The sequence below is a fragment of the Homo sapiens genome, chromosome 5, assembly GCF_000001405.40.
Source record: "Homo sapiens chromosome 5, GRCh38.p14 Primary Assembly".
NCBI classification, from domain to species: domain Eukaryota; kingdom Metazoa; phylum Chordata; class Mammalia; order Primates; family Hominidae; genus Homo; species Homo sapiens.
The window spans coordinates 75182043-75208805 of NC_000005.10; the positions used below are offsets into that span (position 1 = coordinate 75182043).

A 26763-nucleotide genomic window follows, 5' to 3' on the forward strand; every position below is an offset into this window, starting at 1 on the left:
GATATCTGATAAAATAAATATGTAGAATCTAGATAGTAGGTATATGGATAAATAAATAGGTCATGTGAACTTTTTGAATATTTTAAAACTACCTATTTTTAAAATGTATATACAAAAACGATTTCCCCCAAATATTGTTTCTTATAGAAGGTATGAATTCATTGCTGTTTAGGTTCTGGAACCTGTGAAAATTTGCTTACCAATATGTACATTGGTTAACTTGATTATCTATCACAGGTCCCAGTTAGATGGGATGAAAAATTAAGTATCAGAAACTCAAAAGTCGTTAACTTTGGAATGCAGATGATGATTTTCCTTCTAGAAAACTTCCTTTCCTTGTCTAGATTTTGCTCAAACTACAATAAAAATTAGTTTCCTAAAGAAGATGAAAATGGGCCAGGAGAGGTGGCTTATGCCTATAATCCCAGCACTTTGGGAGGCCGAGAAAGGCAGATCACCTGAAGTCAGGAATTCAAGACCAGCCTGGCCAACATGGTAAAACCCCATCTCTACTAAAAATACAAAAATTAGCCAGGCGTGGTGGCAAGCGCCTGTAATCCCAGCTATTCGGGAGGCTGAGGCAGGAGAATCTCTTGAACCTGGGAGGGGAAGGTTTCAGTGAGCCGAGATAGCGCCATTGCACTCCAGCCTGGGTGACAAGAGTGAGAGTCCAACTTAAAAAAAAAAAAAAAGACTAAAATGTCTACTATAGAAATGAGAAAATAACCACAACCAAATATTACTTTTCTCCTTGAGCCCTGAATGCCTGAAAGATAAGGTAAATATAAAAGTAAACATATGGCTTCCAAGGAAAAGCCAGTATCCTATTTTAAAGTTACTGAAGAAAATTCCCAAAGAAAACAAGATACAAGTGTGAGTGATCCAAAGTCAATGATGGGTCAGGGGGAGGAGGTGCTTAAAAATGAATCCCCAATACCCCTGATGAACACAGGGGCAAAATCTTCAACAAAATACAAGCAAACTGAATTCAACAGTACATTAAAAAGATTATTCATTATGATCAATTGGGATTCATCCCAGGGATACAAGAGTGATTTAACATGCACAAACCAATAAACGTGATATATCACATTAACAGAAAGAAAGACAAAAACCATATGATCATTTCAAAAGATGCAGAAAAAGCATTTGATAGAATTCAACATCCCTTCATGATAAAAATTCTCAACAAATTAGGTACAGTAGGTATGTACGTCAACACAATAAATCCCATATATGGGCTTTATTTTTACCCATAGCTACCTTCATATGAAACAGGGAAAAGTTGAAAGTTTTTCCTTTAAGATCTGGAAAAAGACAAGAATGTCCACTTTCACCACTTCTAGTTAGTATTATACTGGAAATCCTAGTGAGAGAAATTAGGCAAAAGAAAAAAATAAAAGGTGTCCAAATGGGAAAGGAGGAAGTCAAATTGTCCCTGGTTGTGGATGATATGGTCTTATATATAGAAAGCCCTAAAGACTTCACTAAAAAACTGTAAGAACTAATAAAGTCAATAAGCTTTCAGGATACAAAATCAACATACAGAAAGCAGTGTTTCTATATGCTAAATAGTGAACTATACAGAAAAAGAATTCAAGAAAACAAACCTAATTATTATAGCTACCAAAAAATAAAATACCTAGGAATAAATTTAAGATGAAGGTGAAAGATCTCCACACTGAAAACTACAAAACATTGATGAAACAGATTGAAGAGGACACATATAAATATAAGTGTATCCCATGTTCATGGATTGGAATAATTAATTCTGTCACAATAATCTACAGATTCAATATGATCTATAGATTCAATGCAATCTCTATCAAAATACCAATGACATTCATCACAGGAATAAAAAAAATCCCTAAAATTCATGTAGAACCACAAAAGACCCCCAAACAGCCAAAGCAACCTTGAGCAAAAAATTTTTAAAAAACAAAGCTAGAGGCATATTACCTTACTTAGCTCTATTAATGAGAAGATCATCATATTGACATAAAAATAGACACACAGACCAATATAACAGAATACAAAGCCCAGACATAAATCCACGCATCTACAGCCAACTGCTTTTCAACAAAGGTGCCAAAAATACACACTGGGGAAAAAACAGCCTCTTCAATAAATGGTGCTGGAAAAAATGGATATCCACATGCAGAAGAATAAAACTGGATCCTTATTTTCAACACATACAAAATTCAACTCAAAGTGGACTAAAAACTTAAATGTAAATACTGAAACTGAAACTACTAGAAGAAAACATAGGAAAAATGCTTCATGACACTAGGCAATACTTTTTTAGATAAGACCTTAAAAGCACAGGCAACAAAATTAAAAAACAGACAAATGAGATTACATCAAACTAAAAACCTTCTGCACAGCACAGAAAACAATCAACAGAGTCAAGAGACAACTTATAGAATGGGAGAAAATATTTGCAAACCATGCATCTGACAAGGGGTTAATATGCAGAATATGTAAGAAACTCAAACAACTCAATAGCCAAAAAATAATAATAATAATAATTCCATTTAAAAATGAGCAAAAGACCAACAGGTATACAAAAAAAGTGCTCAACATCACTGACTACCAGGGAAAAGCAAATCAAAACCACAATAATGTATCACCTCATTCCACTCAGAATGGCTATTATTAAAAAGACAAAAGATAAGTGTTGATGAGGATGTGGAGAAAAGAGAACCTTTACGCTTTTGGTGGGAATGTAAATTAGTACAGCCATTATGAAAAACAATATGGAGATTCCTCAAAAAATTAAAAATAGAACTACCATAACCAGCAATCCTACTACTTGGTATATATCCAAAGGAAATGAAATCAGTATGTCAAAGATATATCTAAATTCCCATGCTCACTGTAGCACTATTCACAATAGCCAAGATATGGACTCAACCTAAGTGTCCATCAACAGAAGAATGGATAAAGCAAATGTGGTATATGTATACAATGGAATACTATTCAGCCATAAAAAAAGAATAAAATTCTTTCATTTGCAACAACATGGAAGAACCTGGGGGACATCATGTTAAGTGAAATAAGATATGCACAGGAAGACACATACTGCATGTTCTTACTCATATGCAGAATCTAAAAAGTTGATCCTAAGAAACAGTGAATAGAATAGTGGTTACTACAGACTGAGGAGAGTAGTGGGAGGGGAAAAATTAGGAAGAGACGGTCAATGGGTACAAAGTTGCAATTAGAAATGAAGAACAGAAAGGTGCAGCGGCTCACACCTGTAATCCCAGAACTTTGGGAGGCTGAGGCAGGTGGATCACAAGGTCAGGAGATCGAGACCATCCTGGCCAACATGGTGAAACCCTGTCTCTACTAAAAGTACAAAAATTAGTTGGGCATGGTGGCGGGCGCCTGTAATCCCAGCTACTCAGGTGGCTGAGAAAGGAGAATCGCTTGAATCTGGGATGCGGAGGTTGCAGTGAGCCAAGATCACGCCACTGCACTCTAGCCTGGCAACAAAGTGAGATTCCATCTCACACACACACACACAAAAGAAATGAAGAATAAGTGATGGTGTCCTATTGAAGAGTTGGGTGACTAGAGTCAGCAAAGAGGTATTGCATGTCTTGAAATAGAAAAGGGGATTTTTAAATGTTCCTAACATAAAGAAATGATACATGTTTAAGGTGTTAGATATGCTAATTACTCTGATTTGATCATTACACAACATATACATGTATTAAAAAAACACATTGTTCCCCATAAATATGTATAATTATGTATGTTTATAATACACTATATATTATACATATAATTATAGTTATTTGTTATATAATAATTATGTATCCATTAAAAGTAAAAAATGGTGTCCAATTCCAGGAAAAACAATGACTGCTACCTGAAGTGAGACTTAAAAAAGGATGACTCAGTAGAGAAGAATTATCAGTTTCAGGGCTGAAAGAAGTTCCCAGTGTCAATAAAGCCAGAAGGTGCTTTATTCTGCAGAGAAAGCCACTGAAGACCACAGAAATCGCTACAGATTACAGAAAGAAATCAAATGTAACAGAGAATTTTCCTTTCCCTAAGGATTATGCCTTCAGCATTGTAAAACCACCCCTCCAAAATAAAGATGGAACACATTCTACAACAGATCTTTTATTACCTCCCAAATCTGCAGGTTGGGAGATCCCCAAAAAAACTTATTTAAAAAAAGAAATTGGAGGAAATCTCCTTAAAAAATGAATATAGTTATAAATTTCCTTCAAAGAGAATATAACACATTTTTAAAAAAGATTTATGATTACACTAAAATTTGTTATATGCTGTAATGTAGCCACCGTTAACACTCACAGAAGTATAAAGCGCACTCCTTTCTACATTACATAGTCCTAAACAGTTTTGTCTCTCATATTTTATGTTATCTATTTCTTGCTTTGTTATTGACTTAAACTTCAGGCTATCATTAATACCCTGGTCTGGGCCAACCTTTCTTTTTCAGTTCCAATGTGTTACAGGTATAGGAATCAGAAAGAGTTCTGCATAAAATAAAGCTCAAGGCATTGTTCTCAGAGGTTTTTGGCAAAAATTTAAAATGTGATCTATTTTGAGTATTCAGAGTTTTTTTTAGCCTACTTCATGGCTGTCACCTTTGCTTTTGGAAAAAGAATTATTGCTCTTTCTGAGCTCCCTGCAATTTGTTTTTTAATCAAAGACAAAAATATCATAAAACGTAAATGAGGACTTATAAAATTCAAAATGTTACATATAAAAGACCATTGGTCCACTATTACATTTTGTTCATTTCTCACAGGGCAGTGGGCCTTTTTTTAAATTGTACCACAAAATAAGTATACTTAAATCTTCCTACTAGAGATTATTAATCTTTTTGTTTTCACAGCATCTGGTACATAGAAGGCATACTGTAAACGCTCACTACATTGAACTAACACGATAGAGGTCATATAGCTGAGAGAGTGAGTGTGTGTGTGTATGAGACACAGAGTGTGTGTGTGTGTGTGTGTGTGTGTGTGTGTTTTGGGAGGCAAAATGATGGTTGCATTTTAAACAAACATTGCCGGTGATTCTGTTTTGTGTGTGTGTGTGTGTGTGTGTGTGTGTGTGTGTGTGTTTTGGGAGGTGAAATGATGGTTGCATTTTAAACAAACATTGCAGGTGATTCTATTGAAAATGGAAACTCTGTGGAAACACTGTCCTCTGTAATTCTGTGGGATGTGGTAGCCAGAAATAAAGATAGAGCTAAGATGCAAAGTAAGAAGGAAAAGTAGAGAACAAGTGAGTTCAAAATGCAGGAAAATATGATAGGGATAAAGAATTCATGAAGGTCACAGAAGTACCTGAGACAATGAGGAAAAGGTATATATTAACTGGCTGAAGACAAGAAGGGAACAGCCACTGAGAATGTTAACACTGGCACATTAAAAAAAAAAGGCTAATACAAAGAAACATGTTAAGAGAGGCTTGAGAAATCCATAAAGTCAAAATTGGCTGCATATAGGGCTACTCTTGAACTCAATGGGCAGACAAAGAATACCAACAGAAAGAACCGCATATCTCTTGAAATCAAGAGAGTAAGTGCTGTGGCTGGCAAATAAGAATACAAGGTTGAGGGTTATAACAGGGCTATAACCTGGGTATGACATTTAAAATAATATCCTGTTAAAATCCTGATTATAGTATAAACCCAGGCTTTGCTAAGGTAAAGTACTGGGGGTGCACTTGAAATCACTTGCTTGTCCCTGGATTTTACTGTGCCATCTCTGTGCACCATAAGACTCTTTGCAATGTTTCTAAACTGAGCAAGTTTAGAAACAACATGAAAAGTATGGACACCCAAAAGCACCATCCAGGCTGTCCAAGTATTGTTCAGTGTATTAAGTACTTAAGTACCTTTAAGGAATCACTCTTCTCTAGCACAACATGTCACATTCTACCCACAGGGAACATTGTACCAGTGACCCAGCCTTGCAGAAATACTGCACTTTCTGAGCTCCCTGTCCCAACCTCTGTACTTCATACTGTATTTTTTCCATTTCCCTGGCCACTGCTCCTGCTGTACATCTACCATTTCATCATAAATTTTCCCCTACAGCTCAGTGCACCATCAGCTTCTTCCAGTGTTTGACATCATTTCTCCTTCATTCAAGGCTGAGTCTCATAGTAACAATGACCATGCAAAGCCAGCCCCAGGTACCTTCTGGATGCCACTGCACATAACCCACCTGGCATAATCTTTGAAGGAGAAACATAATGCTCTTCTCCTGCCACCCAGTCTTCTCACCCTGCCCTCTTCCCTGAAAGATAATGGTGATGAGCTACTTCAACAGGAAAATGATCTGAAAGCCTTCTGTTTGGAACTTACCTTAGGCTCACTTTGCTATACTTTCCTAAGAGTGATTCAGCTGAAACTACAAACCACTCTTAAGGTAACTGTGGGTGGTAATCCTAACTTACCAGCATAACTTGGCTGATTAACATTTCCACCTTTTTTTATACAATGATGAACAAGATCAGCATCATCGTGTAGAGCAGCCTTATATACTAAGTTCTCTCCAAAAATGTTTCTCCGGTTAATGCTATGAAGAGATATTTTGTTCACCTTCATTTTTTCTGAAATGAGGGAATGAACAAAAGAAAAAAATCATTATTTGAATATCAGAAGGAATACGGATTACAAACCACATATTTCAAACTACAAACTTCACGAACATAGGTAACAGGATTAACTCAGTCAATAGTGTAGAAGTGAAGTATATTATGAGAATATTCATCCATTAACCCAACTATAATATTATCTACATACAAAAAGGAAAAAGAGACAAATGCCACTAGTCTTAAAATATTTGAAGTAAACTATAAATCATGATAAACAGTGTGTGTTGATTGAAAACCCATGAAAGGTGCATATATGAAAAGACTAACAGATAATCTTCTTAAAAGTTCTGGTGAAAAGGATTATTTAAACCTAGAATAATATATTATCAAATTTAATAAAATGTTATATTACCAAATGTCTTATAAAACCATGAGGAGAAAATCTCAGAGGCATATAAGATACAAAAACTAATCCCAGTGAGACTGGAAAAGGGAATGCAAAATTCTCCTTCTTGGCTAAAAATAAATTAATGAAATTAAGCAGAGAACCACAGCCTTGATCCTTGCAATTGTTTTTATTTACTAAGCCAGAAATGCACGATTAAAATACTTTTCCAGATAATGTATATCAAGTATCAATTCTCCACTGTGCCTCCTAAAATACTGAAGCTCCTCATTTACATGTTTCAAATCCTGTCAGTTTGGAGGGCAATACTCATCTGGATTTTCTGAATTTCAGAGTAGCTTGATGATAGCTTTTCCAGTTTGTATCTAGCTATCCTGCCCCATCCTAAAACCTTACAAAGGTAACTGAGTACTGCAGCAGCTTTCTTAATGGACGACATATCAACTGCCTTGCCGTTTGACTCCCTTGATTCAGTCCCACTGTATAACAAACCCAACTGCTGAACTTTGAGTCTACATTCTTGTATACCAGACTACAAAGCATTCTTTTCCCACTAGACAAATTGCATGCTTACCATAATCAGAGCAGTCTTTACTTCCAAATCTGCCTGTGCCAGTTGTACTTGTTATATTATAATTATGTAATTTTCTGATCTTAGGGGGAAAGCATTTAATCTTTCACAATTAAGTATAAAGCTGTATGATTTCTGTAGATGTCCATTGTCAGGTTGAATTCCTAGTTTGCTGAGAATTTTCACCAGGAACAAATGTGTTAGATGTTGTCAAATGCTTTCTATGCATTTATTGAGATGATCATATGGTTCCTCTTTTTTAGCTTGTTAATACAATGAATTACAGCGATTGGTCTTCAAGTGTAAAACCAATCTTGAATTCCTAGGATAAACACCACTTAGTCATGATGTATTATATAATGTTGGATTTGATATGCTCAAGTTTTGTTTAGAATTTTTTTTTTTTTTGAGACAGGGTCTTGCTCTCCATATTCTTCTCCAGGGTATTGCCCAGGATGGAGTGCAGTGGTGCAATCACGGCTCATTGCAGCCTCAACTTCCCAGGCTCAGGTAATTCTCCCACCTCAGCCTCCCGAGTAGCTGGGACTACAGGCACATACCACCATGCCCAGCTAATTTTTTGCATTTTTCATAGAGACAGGGTTTCGCCATGTTGCTTAAGCTGATCTCAAACTTCTGGGCTCAAGCGATCCACCCACTTCAGCCTCCCAAAGTACTGCGACTCTAGGCATGAGCCACTGCACGTGGCCTGTTTAGAATTTTTGCATCTATATTCATGAAGGATACTTAGTCTAATTTTCTGTTCTTATAATGTCTTTGATTTTGGTATCAGTTTAATGATGACCTCATTAAAATGAGTTGAGAAGTGTTTCCTCATCTTTAATTTTTTGGAAAAATTGTGTGGTGAACTGGTATTATTTCCCCCTTATATATTTTGTAGAATTCACCTCTGAAGGTGTTACAGACTGAATGGTGTCCTCCCAAAACTCAAACTTGAAGTCCTAGACCAATAAGACTGGATTGAGGTGCTTATATATGTGTGTGTGTGTGTGTGTATTTTTTTTTCTGTGAACTGCTTGTTCATGTTCCTTATCTATTCATGTTCTTTTTACTTTTTTCCCCCAGTTTAAAAATTTTTAATTAATTATTGTTATTATTATTATCTGACATGTAAAAAGGGATACTTATTTAATGTATACAATTCAATATACTTGGGGACAAGTATATACCCATGAAACCATCACCACCATTAAGGCCATGACATACACCCCTGTTCTTTATCCTTACTGTTTCATTAGAGTTTTTTGCATACTAATGCAATTAAACCCTTGTCAAATGATGCTAATATTTCTTAGCTATTTGATATTTGATTCTTCTTTAGTGTATATTTCCATACAATTTTTTTAAATGTATGTAGTTAATTTTATCATTCTTTAAAAGAATTTTTATCATTCTTTTAAAGGTATGTAGTTAATTTTATGATTTTAAACTCAGAAACCAAGAGGATTTAAAAAGACTTTCTCCACACCAAGGTTACAGAAAGATTCACTTACGCTTTCTTCTACAACTTTTATTTTTCATTTAAATCTTTGATCAATCTGAAATTAAAGTTAGTGTAAGGAATGTTATGGAAATCCAATTTTGTTTGTGTTTTCCACTACTTATTGCTTAGTCTTTCTTTTCACCACAATTTGAGATGCCATCTGTATTACATATCTTTCCCGTATCTCACTGTAGCTGGCTTCTACATCTAAACTCTCTATTCTGTTTCACTGATTTATCTGTCTATTCCTGCTCCAGTGTCAAATAACTTTAATTTCTGTAGCTTTCTAATATGCTCTCATACTATGGAGAAAAGGTCCTGCCACTCTAACTTTTTGCTTTTATTTTTCAGAATTTTCTTGGCTAGTCTCTCATATTTACTTTTCTAGGTGATATTTAGTATTACTTTGAAATTTTCTCATAGCTACTCTCTATCACTGTAAAACAGTACAAAATAAAACAAAAAATTAGCAAATAAATAAAAATCTGTTTTTGATGAGATCTCATGCATTTCTAGAATAATTTAGGGATAACCTTCTTACAATGCTGAATCTTTCTAGTCAAGAACAAGGTTCTTCTTTCCATTTATTCAAGTATTTTTTACATCTCACAGTAGAATTTTTAAACTTTCTTCTTATAAGTATGATACGTTTCTTATTAGTTATAAAAGTATTTTCTTTTTGGAACAATTATAAATGAGATAGTCTTTTACACTTTCTAACAAGTTAATACATACATATATGTGAAAGGCATTAATTGTTGACTCCAGCTTATCGCATTTTTAAAACTTTTTCTTTTGAAATAATCTCAGACTTACAGAAAAGTTGTAAAAATAGAACAAAAGACTCACCCCTTGTTAATATTTTGCCATTGACTTTAAACCATTCTTTCTTCTAAATACGTATGCATCCAGACACATGTATACATAAAAAGTAACTTTTATACATCATGCCCTTTTACTTACTAATACTTTAATGTATATTTCTAAGGACAAAGATGTACGCTTATATCGCTGCAGTATTATTATCAAATTCAGAAAACTTACCTCTGATACAATATTATTTTTTCATCTACAACCCATATTTCAGTTTTGCCAATTGTTCTACTATCTATTATTTTTTAAACAATGTTTCTAGATTCTCTTATTGCTTCTGAGAGTTTTTTAGTTCAATCTTTTGGATGTTATAGGAACACAGAAATAAGATCTAAGAATAATAACAATTGTGCCTTGTCCTTTCCTTTATTCCTCCTGATATGCTTTTTCATAGCCATATGCTAGGTTAGTCACACATGTAAATTTAAAAAGAGGTCTGTAACTACTCTTTCCAAAGCAGAACTACAGAAAAAAGTACTAATCTATGAGTCAGAAGTTCAGGATCAATTCTCAATTATGCTAATAATGAGCTGTATGGTTCTGGGAAAAACCCTTAACCTATCTGAAATTCAGTTTCCTCATCAGCAAAATTAGAAAGTTGAGAAAGATAATCTCTGAATCCTTTCTACCAATTCTGTTTTTGTAAAAGAAATAGAAAAATACTCAAAATATGCATCACCTTTTTTTCCTGAAAATTGTTCATTTTTCCTGATCTGTTTTCCATTCTTGAACCTTGCTGAATGCATATTCTTCTCTTTACCATCAATCATTAAAGCCGGATCCTGCATTCTTGAAAAACAACGTATTTTTTAAATGGCTATAACGGTTTTTGCAAACATTCACAGAGAATTATACCAATTTTTGAATACAATATTAAAACTCCAGGGTATTTTACTGAGCTGTTCTCAAGTGGCGTGGCAGTTTTAAATACGGAGATGGCTCCTGCAGGTAATTCTGCAGCAGGCATGCCAGTCATCACAGCTTCTAGCCCTCTCTTTGCGCGACCTGTGGGTTTCTCTTCTTTAGGATTAGTCATCTACAAGTGTGAGTATTCTTAATCTCCTGCTCTTTACTCCCCAAGTTGGCATGCCACTATCCACTCTATTCACCCTCTAGAGAAAAAGATGCAGGCTCTTTGCGAGGAAAAAGCCTTGCTCTGTGGTATGGCACTGATCAAAAACTGCAAAATAAAAAAGCAATAATATAAAAAATAAAGCTCTTTCCCCTGTGTTAACTGTATACTGACCCTGATGTCCCCAAGCATATAATTATCTATAATGTCTATAGCATACCTGGAGATAAAGACATAATTTCATTGCATACCTGAAATTCTGAGCTGAAGAGTTATTATTTGTTAGGTCCTCACAGCCAAGGATTTTTGGTAAAATCTTTTCTGGCATCTTATACATGTGATCTGAGTACTTTGCATCTCTGCTTACTTTCAGTTTTTCTAGTCTGGATGATCTCCTCAACACACACGCAGTTTCCTGATCAGAGCTATTTGTCACTGAATTTGAATTTCTCTTATTACTTAGTGGCTCACAAGAAGTGATATTTTGATGAGCCAAAGTTTGCAATCCAGATGGATTTGGGTCTTGCAGAGTCTGCAAATACGTAAATACATCCACAAAAAATTACAACACTGCAAAAAAATTAAAACTATAAGAAGTTAAATTTTGTCTTGACCTTTGCTTAAATTAAAATGCCTATTATAGGATCCAAGTACAAGAATTCATAGACATATGTGGACATAATGAAAGATTTAATAATAATTAATGTAATAAAGGACAATGCAGATTTAAAAGCTTAAGAGCATAAGTAAAAATGATTTTGATCAATATTTATCTTGAAAATTCAAAGGCAAATCTATGGTCACTCTAGGAGTTTTAATTTTGCAAGAAATTTGGAATGTAGAATGATGAGAGATCTACAAAAACATTAGAAATGTCACACTAGGCTAGATCAATGGACTATTCAGCCTAGGGTTTTATTATCTGACAGCAGCAGCAAGTGATATTTTGTGGAACAAGATAGTACATAACCTCCATTACATTGATTTTAAAAGGTTAACAGTGTATCAGGAATTGTTCTTTCCCTTAATAATTCATTATAGATTTAACTTCCATGAACATATGTATTCTTTATACGTATCATCTAAACCTTTCTTCAGCTTACTTACATATCCGTCTTGCAAAGCTTCTCAAGGTAACAAGCTCCATATTTTTATTACAGCTGAGTAAATGAGTATATTATTTGATCTCTTCTAAGTAAGTCTCCTTTCTACTTAAGAGGGTTTATTTTTTTTCCTTTCGAAGACTTGCTAAATTCATATTCACTGTATTAATACCAATCATAATTTCCTACACTTTACTCATATTCCCTCTTTTCATATTAGAACACTGCAATTTTAATCTTCATGCCCTATCTCCATAATTAGTTTCTCTTTTTCTGGTTTTTAAAAAATCCTATGTCAGTTTTGAGATTTGTTAAACAGAACTTCATGCAGTATTGTCCCAGGTATGTATGCTGCAACACGAGCTCAGCATTTTGTTACATAAATCTTCACAAGGATGTTCACAGAAACATTTTGGTAATCGGAAGATAAAAAGAAAAGAAAGAAAACAATCCAAATGACCATCATTAGTGAATTGATTAAATAAATTACAATATATTCACACAGTGGAATACTATTCAGCAAATTAAAAGATTTAAGTAGTGCTACATTTGCTGACATTGAAAGATAAACAAAACACATTATTAAATTTAAAAAATAAGTTGGAAGGCATTATATATAATATAATCCCATTAGTATAAAATGAACTAATATAGAATATGATGGAAATAATTGGAGAGAGATACACCAAACTGTTAACAGTGATTACCTCTAAAGAGTGAAACTGTGGAGGATATTTGTTACCATATTATTATGTAATTCTGTAAGGTTTAAAATGTGTTTTATAATGAGGATGCATTATTATTATAATCAGGGGAAAAAATAAAGATTATTTTTAAAAACAAAGAAACTGTCAATATGACAAAGGGACTTTGTGAGTGATAGGCCACTACAGAGCCTCCAGGCATAATACTACAAGAATTCTAAACCCCAAGAGCTATGCCACCTGATAGTATTCTCAGACATAGAAGTCAAAATTCTGCTTAAGCTAGGCATATTTTTTCCCTCCCCTGGCATCCCAACTGCATATATTCTATGTCAAAATGTAAATTAATGTGGGGTATCCCATCAGTACTCTGCACCCAGGTAGACATAGTGATTTTCTGAGCTAACAGAGAAAATTTTAGTAAAGAATTCTTTCCTTCCTACATATAAGCAATCTAAAGATATGTCTTCTCAGCCCTGTTGAGAAGAAATCTTTCTATTTTCATTTCCTAACTCCTCGAAAACTCTATCCTAGGAACTTCTAAAAAGATCACTCTATGCTTCCAAGTCACAAAGTATCTTCTCGGTGTTGATATTTGGGTAGATTTGATTTTAACACAATGAAAACTTGTTGAAGTTTAAAAGGCAAAATCATAGACTCATATTTTCAGCTACTTGCTCCACTGAAAGATGCTTGTCCTATAGCTCAGCTAACTTGGAACCATGTTCAAATGGTGGAGTAGAACAAAGAAATTCAAAATTCACCTCTGCTATTTGTGTACAATCTTCATTGGTCTGAGACGTATTGAACTCCACTTCTAAACATTCATTTCTGGCAATGAGACTGCTACCTCCCTCTTTTCTGTGACAGATGGTTTCCACCTTGGCTTCTGACAATGTGTTCAGGGCTTCCAATAACTCAGCTGGCAATGCATCATCTTTTGCATCTTCTAGTAAATCTCTATGACATGCCGACCAGGAATTCAAAGGTATTGATATGGAACTAAGAGAGTCACTCAATGGGTTCATCAATTCTTTACGATCAAAATCACTTACTAATTCAAACAATCTTTCCTCCTGGGTGCTTTCTGGTGATGTAAGTAAACTTTCTAAGGCAGACACAAAGGTTTCAAGAGAGCTTTCTTCATCCTTAGTTTCTTCAGAAGTCATGGTCATTGTGACTTCCTTTCTAGGCTCAAAAAATGTATTTGGTGCTGCTAAAATCTTCTCTGGCTCTACTAATGATGTCTCCTTTACAGCAACTGTATCAGATACTGTAATAGCAGTGCCTGAGAGAAGGCTAACTTCAGGAGAATCTCTGCCTTCACTTAGTTCCTGTGTATTACAAATAGAAATTACATCATTACAGCATATACAATAAAGTATTTAAAATGAAAACTTTATAGTTTTATAGTTTATCTTGTTTGTAAGCTACCCTCAAAATTTATCATCAACTTTCCTTCCCTTCCATAAATAAAGGGAATACTCTTTATTGCTTTCCTATACCAAATCGCTAATTACTGAAAACATGGTTAAACATTTAATAATAGACCAAGAGCATAACTGGCTGGACCATAATTACGGATGGCAAATTATTCACCTAAGTTTAAATTATCTGTGCTAACAGAAGAAGCAGAGATGGCATGGATAGTTAAATTAACAGATGATCCCAAAGCTTCATAGCCATTAATGGTTATAAAATTCTTTCTTGCCAAAATGTCCTATTTGATTTATAAAATTATTAACTAGGAATAAAATTTCACCTTCTTTTTGTTCCCCCACCTTTGTAGGAATAAGTAAATGTGGAGTAAAGAGGCCAAAGGACAAGAGGTCAGAGGGAAAAGGTGGAGAAATGAGGGTACAGTTATGTATAAATATTACAAGCCCTAGCTGTGAATGAATGGCTCTGAGTTGTGGTTATTTTAAGCAAAAAAACCCACTAAACTTAACATTTCTAAATGACTATTATTTCTCTAAGACATCACCTTAATAGGTTATACCTGTTCTCACAATGTTTCTTTTTTTCTTTTCTTTCCTTTTTTTTCTTTTTTTTGAGATGAGGTCTCACTCTGTCACCCAGGCTGGAGTGCAGTGGTGCCATCTCAGCTCACTGCAACCTCTGCCTCCAGGATTCAAGTGATTCTCCTGCCTCAGCCTCTTGAGTAGCTGGGATTACAGGAGCCTGCCACCATGCCCTGTTAATTTTTTGTACTTTTAGGAGAGATGGGGTTTCACCATGTTGGTCCAGCTGGTCTCAATCTCCTGACCTCAGGTGATCTGCCTGCTTCGGCCTCCCAAAGTACAGGGATTACACGCATGAGCCACCATGCCCAGCCTCACAATGTTTCTAATACTCAAAATACTGTTAGAATCCCTCTTTTGAAATTGCTTTCAGAATGAGTTTATAAGCCATTCAAGAAAATAATGTGCTTTAAAGGCACTGAAAAATTTTCAAACACTAAATACTTTTTATCGGCCTTAAATACCAGAATGGGTTTCAATGACTTTGGTTTTTTCCAAAAATCAAATCCACCATACCTTTGACAGGATGTGCTGTAATTTGTAAGCCTTCTAATATTCTAATCTGGTATGAGTGAGAGAAGCAAAACCACTTTATTCTTCCTCCTGTCCTTTTCTACCTGCCACCTTTATGTACTTTGTATATATTAATAGCATACAGCACTTAAGAAAACATATTTATTTGTTAGCAATGCTAACTATAATTTTCTCAGAAAGATAAAAGGAATATGCAAGAAATTCAAGAACCAGATCCTACTCACTCTCTAAGTCTCAGTTCAAGGCCTCTCCACTATTTGAAGTCCTCGCACCAGGTATAATAAAGTATATACATTGGGCTCTGTCTTAAAGCAATTTATTTCTAACTTAAGATTCAAGACATAAATACCTAGGACATTAAACAGAATACAAATAATGTCATAGAACACTTATGAAATCAAATGAATGGCATAAACTAGTGTATATCAAGCAGTTGCATTTATAACCACAGAACCAGCCCAAATTGGCCGTACTTTGTTGGTAACAGAATGTCAAGTCATCTTGCAGGTATAACACAGCGAAAACTGCAAGTCATGTAACGCAGCCAGAACCTTGAACCAAGAAGACAGAAAAATGACTTCCCCTCCTCCTGAACCAAGAAGACTGAGAAATGACTGGAACCTGACCACTGGTACTCTTTCTGAAGAAACAGGTCTGCTAGTCAGAAAGATTTGGTGTTAAAATCTGCCTAAATATACCTTACCGTAAATGGTCAAATTCGAGGTCTTCTAATCAGACTCTGCCAAGCCAACATTCCTAAGTCCTTTCCCTTACCTTCTGCCCCCTTAAACCTGTTCCAGACCCTAAATAGAGGACACAAATTTGAGCTGCCTCTCCTGTCTCCTTGCTGGCCTGTCTCACAATAAAGCCTTTTTTTCCCTCAAAAGCCAATGCCACAGCACTGGCTTCTATGCACATCAGGCAGCAGGCCCATTTGCTTGATAACATACAAAGCCTAGTGTCTTGCAAAAATGAGTTTTCTGGGGAAGAAAAAAATGGAGGCAGTGGAGGGCTTTCATGATTCTTTGAAAAATACTTGGTTGAGCAAAGTTAAACAAGTTACTTTGTGACAGGACTTTCCAAACCATGTGCATTGGGGAACTTTAGGACACAGTGTTCTCCAAACATTTTTGTCCAAAAAAATCCTTCTCCTCAGAAGATCTATTAATATTATAGAGTACAAGTGATTTGGAAATAATGATATAGTTAGTAAATAATGAGTGCTAGAGAGGGAGCAATTACTTTGGTCAAGATCGCCAGAATTATCTGAAATAGATCCACAGAAGAACAGGTACTTGAGCCAGAAATTAAAGATTTGTGGAGTGAAAGAATGGAGGAACACACATTTACTAAGCACCAACTAGGTGCCAGACATCATGAACCATCATTGCTCGGTCCTCACAATACCTGTAAAACAGCTATCGCTGCCCCTATCTTACAGATATAAACAGTTATCCTTGGAACCCAGACCTATCTGGTTTCCAAATTTTATGTTATTTCCCATCTTCTGGCTCCTGATTTGAGCAAAAGCATGAAGGCAGGAAAGTGTAAGGTGTGGCTGAGATAAAGTAAGCTACAGGGACAACCTGGGTGAGATGCCAAGACCCAGGGTCTACAAAAAAATTAAAAGAAAAAAATCAGCTGGGTGTGGCAGTATGGGCCTACAGTCCTAGCTACTGGGGAAGCTGAGGTGAGAGGATCTCTTGAGCCCAGGAGTTCCAGGTGGCAGTGAGTTATGATCGCACAACTGTACTCCAGCCTGGGCAACAAAGTGAGACTTTATCTCACTGGGGAGGTCTTTGATTGCCTAGCATCCCTGAGGAAAGCGTGAGTTCATTGTAAGCAGAGCCAGTCCTATAGTCCTCTGATTCTCCATAGCACCAAGTAAAAAGCAAATCCAAAGCAGGAAGGAACTTTGCTACATTATCTCAGAAACAGTTTGATAACAAGTTATGTATTTCTACTCTAGATAAAAAGTAAGAGACTTAACAGTACTGGATAAGAGACACAGATCAAGAAAACACTTTCATTAGCAATAAGGAAGAATAAACATGAAAGAGGTGATTAGACAAGAATAGATTTTTATCTACCGAAATGGTTTAGTAGATGAGGGTGAGGGTCTAAATGAGCTTGATACTTTAATCGACATAATTTTTTAAAAAATCTAAACTCACAGTCTACATAGTTAATTTCTGTTATACAGACCAACCTTTTCTATGTGTGGCAAAACTTCAGGACTTTCAGCCTCTGGCCCTAGAAAAAAACAATGTGTTTTCATTCCAGTTTTATGGAAGCACTAAAAACATACCTTCTCAGTTGACATTTCATAATCATATAACTTAAACTCCCTCAGTCAAGTGACACATCATATATTTTATTAATATTACATAAATTTATTAGTATAAAAGTATTATTTTGGAAATGAAATTATAAAATTCTTGCATTTCTTAAAAAATATTTTATATAGCTCCAAAAAAATTGTAACTATTTGGAATTATTTTAGCTAAAAACCAAGAACTCTATTTTGGCTGAATTATACTAAGTACAGCATTTGTAACTACATAGGAAAAAGACTATCTACTTTCTCAGTGTCATTATCTCTTCTACTACAGGTACTTAGAGCTTAAATGAACTCATGCTGTCTGGAGTTAGGCATGAAAAGAAATGCCCCTTATAGGGGTCAAAAGGACAGAGGGTCATCCTAGACACTATGGAGGATTGCTGCATTGCCTCTGTGACTGCAAATTCACTATCTACTCTCACCCTGCCCCCTCTGAGCCAAGCTGGCAAACAGCAATTCACACCCAAGTTAGGTCAAAGGAGGATCTGGAAAAAAGATAGTTCTCCTCCACTGTTCCTTTTACATTCTTTCTTTCTTTTTTTTTTTTTTCTTTTGAGATGGAGTCTCGCTCTGCAGGCCAGGCTGGAGTGCAGTGGCACGATCTTGGCTCACAGCAACCTCTGCCTCTGAGTTCAAGTGATTCTCCTGCCTCAGCCTCTTGAGTAGCTGGGATTACAGGCATGCACCACCATGCCCAGCTAATTTTTGTATTTTTAGTAGAGGCAGGGTTTCACCATGTTGGCCAGGCTGGTCTCAAACCCCTGACTTCAAGTGATCCACTTGCCTTGGCCTCCCAAAGTGCTAGGATTACAGGTGTGAGCCACCACACCCAGCCCATTTACTTTCATCATCAAGACCCAAGTATTCTGGCCAGGCACAGTGGCTCACGCCTGTAATCCCAGCACTTTGGGAAGCCAAGGTGGGCAGATCACTTGAGGTCAGGAGTTTGAGACCAGCCTGGCCAACAAGGTGAAATCCTGTCTCTACTAAAAATACAAAAATTAGCCAGCATGGTGGCACACACCTGTAATCCCAGCTACTCGGGAGGCTGAGGCATGAGAATTGCTTGAACCTGGGAGGCAGAGGTTGCAGTGAGCCGCGATTACACCACTGCACTCCAGCCTGGGCAATAGAGCAAGACTTCGCCTCAAAAAAAAAAAAGAAAAGAAAAAAAGACCCAAATATTCTGACACACCTGAGTAGGAATTCAGAACTCACTGGAATTTCAAGCATATATCTGAGTCATTCTTTTGGTTTCTTTTGATTAGGTAATGTCTACATAGCTAAAGTAAAAGCAAGTAATTATCTGCTGAACCTCAAAATGCATCCTCATAAGCAAGACAGGTTTTTCAGGGGGAAAAAGAAGCATAAATATTCTTGCTGAGCTTCACATCCTAAAAGATAATAATAATAAACCTGTTTTTTTCCCTCGCTTCATCTTTGCAATTTAATGATAAAAAGCTATGAAAATCAGTTAGGAGGGCTAAAATCATGGCGTATTACTTGCTCACAGCATGATAAGCAAAAAGTCATAAGAATAAATAATTTCTTATCCTTGGTTTAGAATTATTCCTGTCAACAAGTGATGACATATTTCATTGTGTGTATCTTACTTAACATTTTATATCTCTACTTGCTTAAAATTTTAATACCAATGAAAGAAACATTTTAAAATAATAGATACATCTTCAACTACCTTTGGAAGGAGAGGTTTTTTTAAATAAAATTTCACATCTTTGGGGGATTAGAATTCAAAAACAGAAAAAGAGATTTCACTTTTCTTCCTTCTCCGAATCATAAGAAACAACTCTTATAGACATTTTCTCCCATGTTGTCTTTAACAACTTCATCTTCAAAACTATAAAGCAAAAAAATAAAATTCTAAGGCTCCCAATCATCTGAATGGACCCCTCTTGGCCATGGGCATACCAAAGTTGGTTCAGGCCTTGAAGGGAAGAAAGGGTCACACACGCCTCATTACACCCTCCTCCCTTCTGGAATTGAGGAAAAGCCATCCAGTGTTAACATCAACACAGATCTTAAGTCTGTTTAAAAAAATTTATAATCTGCTCTGTCTGAACCCTGCTATCTGTAAGCTTCATCTGCATGATAAAACTTTGGTCTCCACAACCCCTTATCATCATAACCCAGCGATTCCTTTCTATTGATTCCAGGTCTTTAGATAATAACTCTTTCAACCAATTGCCAATCAGAAAATCTTTGAATCCACCTATAAACTGGAAGCCCCCAGGCCACACCTTGCTTCTGGTTTGTCCCACCTTTCCAGACAAAACCAATGTACTTCATCTTACACATATTGATTGATGTCTCATGTCTCCCTAAAATGTATAAAACTAGGCTGTGCCCTGACCACCTTGGGCACATGTTCTCAGAGTTTCCTGACGGCTGTGCCACAGGCCATGGTCACTCATATTTGGCTCAGAATAAATCTCTTCAAATATTTTACAGAGTTGGACTCTTCTCGTTGACGAAATGATCATTCTTTTATGCCAACAGGTACTATTTTAAAAACTTAATAAAATATTTTACAGTAATTTGATTACTATATTAAAAACCAACACATTTAGAAGGAATTATCTTTTCTAACTACAAATTTTACTTTAAAGTTTTTACAAATACATAAAGAATTCTTGAATTTTTGTCTATCCTTTAATAAATCATTAAAAGAATTTTCAAATTTTCCACTTTCACTTTAGAGAGGCAAAATATAATGGTATACATGAGAAATAATTCTAAAGCATCAAATTCAAAGAAAATGGCCAGAGAAGCCTGGTTTAACTTATACACAAAATTTAACTTATACACAGGTGTTTTAAGGCCAAAGCTATTATATTTGCTTAAGGCAGTTTGCTTATCTTTATCTTTCTACAATTTGATTAGAATTTACCCTTTGAATTGGGACAGAGGTCTGTATTAGAACACAGTCAACTATAAAAGCTAACAATTTAATAATTTACTTGTACGTGATTTAACCTATAGTCTGGAATTATAATAAAATGAGCTTCTTGTTCTGAATACTCTGAAAGGAGTAAAGGCAAGAGAGAGCTTCAATGAAGTGCCAGAATGGAAGAGAACTACCAATTCTAAGGATCTCTAGTCACAGCAGCTTTAGGGCAGCAAGAAACACACAAAGCAATAATCCTGGTGCATGTGGCACTACTTTTTATTTTTTATTTTTTAGAGATGGGGGTCTTGCTTTGTCACCCAGGCTGTAATGCAGTGGCACAATCATAGCCAATTGCCACTTCAAATTCCTGGGCCCAAGGGATCCCCCCAACTCAGCCTCCCTAGTAGCTGGGACTATAGGCATGCACTACCTCACCTGGCCATGTGGCACTTTTGAAGGAACAGCCTATGAGACTTGTGACTCAGAAGTTCGAGGAGAGTGGTGACAACAGTGCACAGATGCCAATGGCATAACAAGGCATTAATGGCTGGCACTCAGGAGGCCAAATGGGCAGGAGGTTGGAGTTATGGGACTATAGGACATAGTGGAACCCTGTTTTAAAATAAATACTAGAATTGGGTATGAGAAAAATAAAAATACATTTTTGTGTAAGTATTGATGACACCTGTTATAGTCAAAACCCAAAGGGGAGGCCGGGCGCGGTGGCTTACACCTGTAATCCCAGCACTTTGGGAGACCCAGGTGGGTGGATCACATGAGGTCACGAGTTTAAGACTAGCCTAGCCAACATGGTGAAACCCTGTCTCTAAAAAAATACAAAAATTAGCCAGGCCTGGTGGCACGTGCCTATAATCCCAGCTACTCAGGAGGCTGAGACAGGAGAATTGGTTGAACCCGGGAGGTGGAGGTTGCAGTGAGCAGAGATTGCGCCACTGCACTCCAGCCTGGGCGAAAGAGAGAGGATCCATCTCAAAAAAAAAAAAAAAGAAAAGAAAAGAAAAGAAAAGAAAATACCCAAAGAAGAAAAAGGAATGCCCAGGGCATGATATTATCCATGACACCTCTGTCTCAAATTGTTCAATACATCCTCATACACACACACAAAAAGACTTCAACCTCTAAGATGACATCATTATAGCTTTATAAACATGACTCTTTTTGTTTAATCCATAACTACATCTTGTAAAAAGTGCTAAATAGGTTTTTACTAAATTTGGAGATCACGTTTTGCATAGTCTGAATTATATTAGGCCATTTGATATTTATTAAACTTTTTTAAAATCAGAAAGTCTTTTATATTTAAAGAGGAACATTAATTACCCCTTGCGCTTACATTTGTTTAATGGTCAATTTACTAAACTTCTATATCTAAGACATGAAAACTTGAAAATTACTATTTAACATTTAAACATTGATAACAAACTTAAATTTCCTTAAACAATTTAAACTAAAAATTTGAAATAATTTTTTACCATTTCAAATATATAAAAGACTACTGCTCTTAAACTAATTCTAAAATAACAGTATCATTGTTGTAATTCATTCTTCTTTATTTCTATACTTGTTCTTATACCTTTTTAAGATTAAAGTAATTCTTATTCTGATACCTTCCCAGGGTTACAGATTACCTGCTTTTTTGTTGGGGCATGAGATTATTTCTCTCAAGATTATTCCAACCTGACCAGCCAATTATCTGGCTTTACTTATAAATAAATACCTTAAACTTCACAAAGGTTATTTTTTGTAATCTAATGTTTTGTCCGAGAATGCTTTAAGTTTTACTTGGTTGGTGTTACAAAAGCTTTTCTCTTGTCATTTATTATGTGCTGATATGTTATGTAGTGTTACTAGAAACTTATTCCTGCCATTTAGTATCTTATCATGATAGGCAGGGCCATCTAAGGCTTTTATTTACTAAGAGATAAGGATCTAGTCTCTGCAGAAAAGTCTCCTTAATTGGATATCAGGTTAATTTGTCATCTGGGGACACAGACCCCACTTTATATGTTTTATGTGTCACTGCTGGTACTGTGTGATGGGCCTTCCTTTCCTTGGTACAATTCTTACTTTTTCCAGGACTCCTTGACTCTTTCCCTACTTAAACAGTGATAAACAAAAATATCCTATGTTTTATAAATAGACATGTATTTAATTAAGAAAATGCACAGATATTAACAGGCCCCCAATTCTTAGTTATTAAAACTTTCTTTTTTGAGATAGGGTCTCACTCTGTCACCCGGGCTGGAAACATGGCTCATGCAGCCTGAACCTCCTGGGCTCAAGCTGTCCTCCCGCCTCAGCGCAGCTGAGACTATAGGCATGAACCACCATAGCCTGGATAATTTTGTGTGTGTGTAGCGATGGGGGTCTTGCTGTGTTTCCCAGGCTGGTCTCGAACTCTTAGGCTCAAGCAATCACCCTGGCTCAGCCTCCCAAAGTGCTGGGATTACAGGTGTGAGCCACCACATCCAGCCCATCCTTAAACATCCTGCTGTAGTTGTTTTTCTTTTTGTATTGAGACAATCTTTTGTACACTCCTAACATTTTTTGAGTATCATTATGAACTCATGGTCTTTTCACAAACTTATTTGCATGAACTCTAAATTCCTGGGTTTTTATCCCTACTTAATTTATCAGTTTGGCCAGTTTATCACAGTTTGGCCACAGCACCATTGAGCTAACCATTTATCCTCCAGCACTGGCCCCAGACATCCTTGAAAGCATCCTTGCTTTTCAGTAATAATTGTATGTTCAGGCTCATCCTGATATTGTCATGCTCCAAAAGTGATCAGCTACCCTTTAAGAATCCCTGGTTTATTTAGCATTCACACCCTTAGCACCCACATACTTGGTATTTAGTAGGCTTAATAAGTATTTGTTAAAAGAATAAACAATATTAAAGACCAAACTCTAGACAGTTAAAGTATACGTAAGAGCTGGTGGTGGGCAAAAGTGGTACTGCTTTGTTGTAGCAACAGAGCAAGAGAAGACAGAGCTTTTTAAATTTATCTTTCCAAAATGATACCATGTCCTTGTATCCTTTTCTTATAATACTAGGTATCATTAAACACTATAAATATTTACTACATTGTGACACAATATACCTGACATTCACTCTGGAGGAATCATTGGTAGACACTGCAAAGAGATAGACAGCTATCCTCTAATACAGCTCAAACCAAGGCAAAACTGGCCTGTGTGACTGCCAGTCAAGAAAGACATGAAATTCTTATTAAAAATCTTATGAACATAGGAAACAAACTTTGTTTTCAAATTTCAGCCCCCAAATCACATTTTGAGTAGCAGATACTAATGGCATCTGAGCTGCTACTCCCATAGGTAATTCTATGAAGCATGCCCCAAGTCAATAGCAACACTGATTTCATATTTATAAACATATAGTAAGCCAGGCTCAGTAGAGCATGCCTGTAGTCCCAACTACTCGGGAGGCTAAGGCAGGATAATTTGCCTGAGCCCAGGAGGTCAAAGCTAATCTGAGCAACATAGCAAGACCACATCTCTACCAAAAAAAAAAAAAAAAAAAAAAAAAAAAAAAAATATATATATATATATATATATATATATATATATATATATATATATATATATATATATATATGGTTGACCAGCCTAGTTGTAAATAAATGTATATCTAACTAAGTCTTCTATTTTTAGGCAAAGACTAATTTCCTTTATATGACTCTACCATGAAAACATACCTTCAATATTTTGGTGGTTCAATGAAAGTCCAGACTGGCGAAACGACCCAATGAACATTGAACAGTTTTTTCTAGTCCTAAAAAATCAATTAATAAAAATAAATTTTAAAATGGAAGAAAAAATAGTGTTTCTCATTCAAATACAATTTAATTTTTCTTTTTCACTTAAAGGGCTTTCCAAATAGGATAATTTTTTGCTATATCATTCCAATTATTTTTACAATTATTACCAATTTGTTAACATTTTCATTTCAAGTAACTGCACAAATGAAGGAGAGAGCTGAAAAAATAATAAATGACCTGAGGAGTGTATACAAGCTAAACTACATTTAGGTCTGAAGGTGACTTTGGAGGTGACTGTTTGCCAAATAGGGGCAGGAAGGTCAGGGAGAAAATGGTCCTGAAATACGTAGTTTTTCTATCTACATCATCAAACACACTGATAGTTTGTCATTAGTTTTAGATGTAAGTGAGAGTCATTAATGATAAATTTCTCCAGGCATTACTTATCATTCTTGTATTTCACAGCAGGCAAAGAAAAGGTAGGGAATACCGAAGGGAGGAAGTTAAAAGCAAAATAAGGGTCATGCCTAATCTGCAATTTTCATCATCTGCCCTGTGATAATTAAAAGCTGATTAAAGAAAGGCAATCAGCTAACTGTATTTTTTCTCAGCCTAATTTACTGCATAAATGTAATCAAGATACCTTCCTTTAAAAAAAAAGCCTCTCATTTCAGCTGTTTTAAGAGCAGTTTTTAATGCAGTAGGCACAGCTACTGGAGTCCTATGCAAGAGTAATAAATTAAGCATTCTCTCCTATCCAAAAACAGAAGTGATCAGTATAAGCTGTCTTCAGATAAAAATGAAGCTATTCATGTAGAATGATAATTTTTGAAGCAAATAGAAAAGAATGCTGATTTTTTTCCTAAAGTGTGATTTTTTAAGAACAAGCTGAAAGCAAAATAAAACCATAGTTTAACAGAATTTTTTCCCTTAATTGCAAGAGTATTTAAGACATAGTCTGAAAATAGAGCAAAGCTTCATCTAAATTATTACAAATATTTATGTTAGGTAAGACTACAAACAACCTAAATGTCCAGTAGTAGAGGAATAATTAAATGAATTATAGTAAAGTCAGTAATACAATAAGGTATTATAAGGTCATCAAAATTCACATTTTTAAAAACATTATGACACAAGAAAATAACTTTGATAAACTATTACTTAAAATTTAAAAACAGGATACAAAACTATCTGCAAGATGATCCCAATTTTGTAGAAAGTATGAACAAAAACAAAAATATAAATAAAGCCTAAAGTAAAACGTACCAAAATGTTAACAAATGGTTCTCTAGGCAGAGAGAATATGGATGCTATATTAGTCTTCCTTAGTCTTTTCTTTTTTTATTTCTTTAAATGAACTTATAATGTTGGTAGCTGGGGCAAAAGGGTTATTTTACAACAATAGAAGTTTTCAAACTTTTTGATCTTCAGACTCCTTTATACTCTTAAAAATTATTGGTGTCTTACACTTATTTATATCTACATATTAGAAACTAAAATGAAGAACAAAACTAAATATGTATAAATTTTTAAATGACAGCAATAATCCAGGAACATATTAATATATTTTTATGAAAAATTATCTTTTCCAAAATGAAAAAAATTAGCGAGAGAAGTTGCAATTTTTGACATTTTTAATAATCTCTTTAATGTGTGGCTTAATGAAAGATGACTATCATCCTATATCTGCTACTGCATTCAATCTGTTGCCATATATAATTTTATTTGAAGTATATAACAAAAATCTGGCTTCACACAGATATGGGGTTGGAAAAGGGAGGAGTATTTTAATAGCCTTTTTGGATAATTGTGAATATTGCTTGGGTACAGAAAATAATACCCCAAAATACGACGCTATGGCAAGCTGCGTACTCTGAATTAAAGAAAATTGAAAGGCCTGAGAAATAAGCTTCAGAACCAAGGTCTCCATCTGAGCTTTCCCCTCACCCCCCACCCCATTTCTCTGATCTTTTTTTCTTGAAGCACCTGAAGGGACTCTCTCCAGAATTTCCTTATCTGACTGAGAAAGCTTCTTGAAAAAATAAAATAAAATGGTCTTAAAATCCCCTCCCTAGGAATCTCATTAAACAACCAGGAAAGATTAACCATCAGAGAAAAGACTAAAAGTCTCTAAGGCCAGGTGACAGGACACTATGTCCAGACAAATTCTTTATCTATTCTTCTGACAGCAGCTCCAAGAGACTACCCAAGACTTTATCTGCCTAAGACAACCTTTGTTCAGAGTGAAGTTCTGTCTCTCATCTTCCCATCAATTCCCCAAAACTTAGAGGAACTTGTCCCAGGCCATTGTTTTTTGGGCATATTCATTTCC

The 26763-nt window shown here is 35.5% G+C and overlaps 1 protein-coding gene across 15 annotated transcripts in view; it reads right to left on the bottom strand.

Moving 5' to 3' along the window:
* Nucleotides 1–26763, bottom strand: part of ANKRD31 (ankyrin repeat domain 31) — a 168582-nt gene that overhangs the window by 113746 nt on the left and 28073 nt on the right. For 12 of the 15 annotated variants that reach the window (NM_001164443.1, NM_001372053.1, XM_011543301.4 and 9 more), the window contains 6 exons: nt 24369–24445; nt 17589–17632; nt 13589–14158; nt 11269–11549; nt 10625–10734; nt 6451–6606 (listed from right to left, as the gene is read on the bottom strand). In NM_001164443.1, coding sequence (NP_001157915.1) covers nt 6451–6606; nt 10625–10734; nt 11269–11549; nt 13589–14158; nt 17589–17632; nt 24369–24445 — 1238 coding nt within the window. Of the gene's footprint in view, nt 1–6450; nt 6607–10624; nt 10735–11268; nt 11550–13588; nt 14159–17588; nt 17633–24368; nt 24446–26763 lie in introns of those variants that run through there. The other 3 variants (XM_017009319.2, XM_024446011.2, XM_017009321.1) reach the window with 2 other exon arrangements.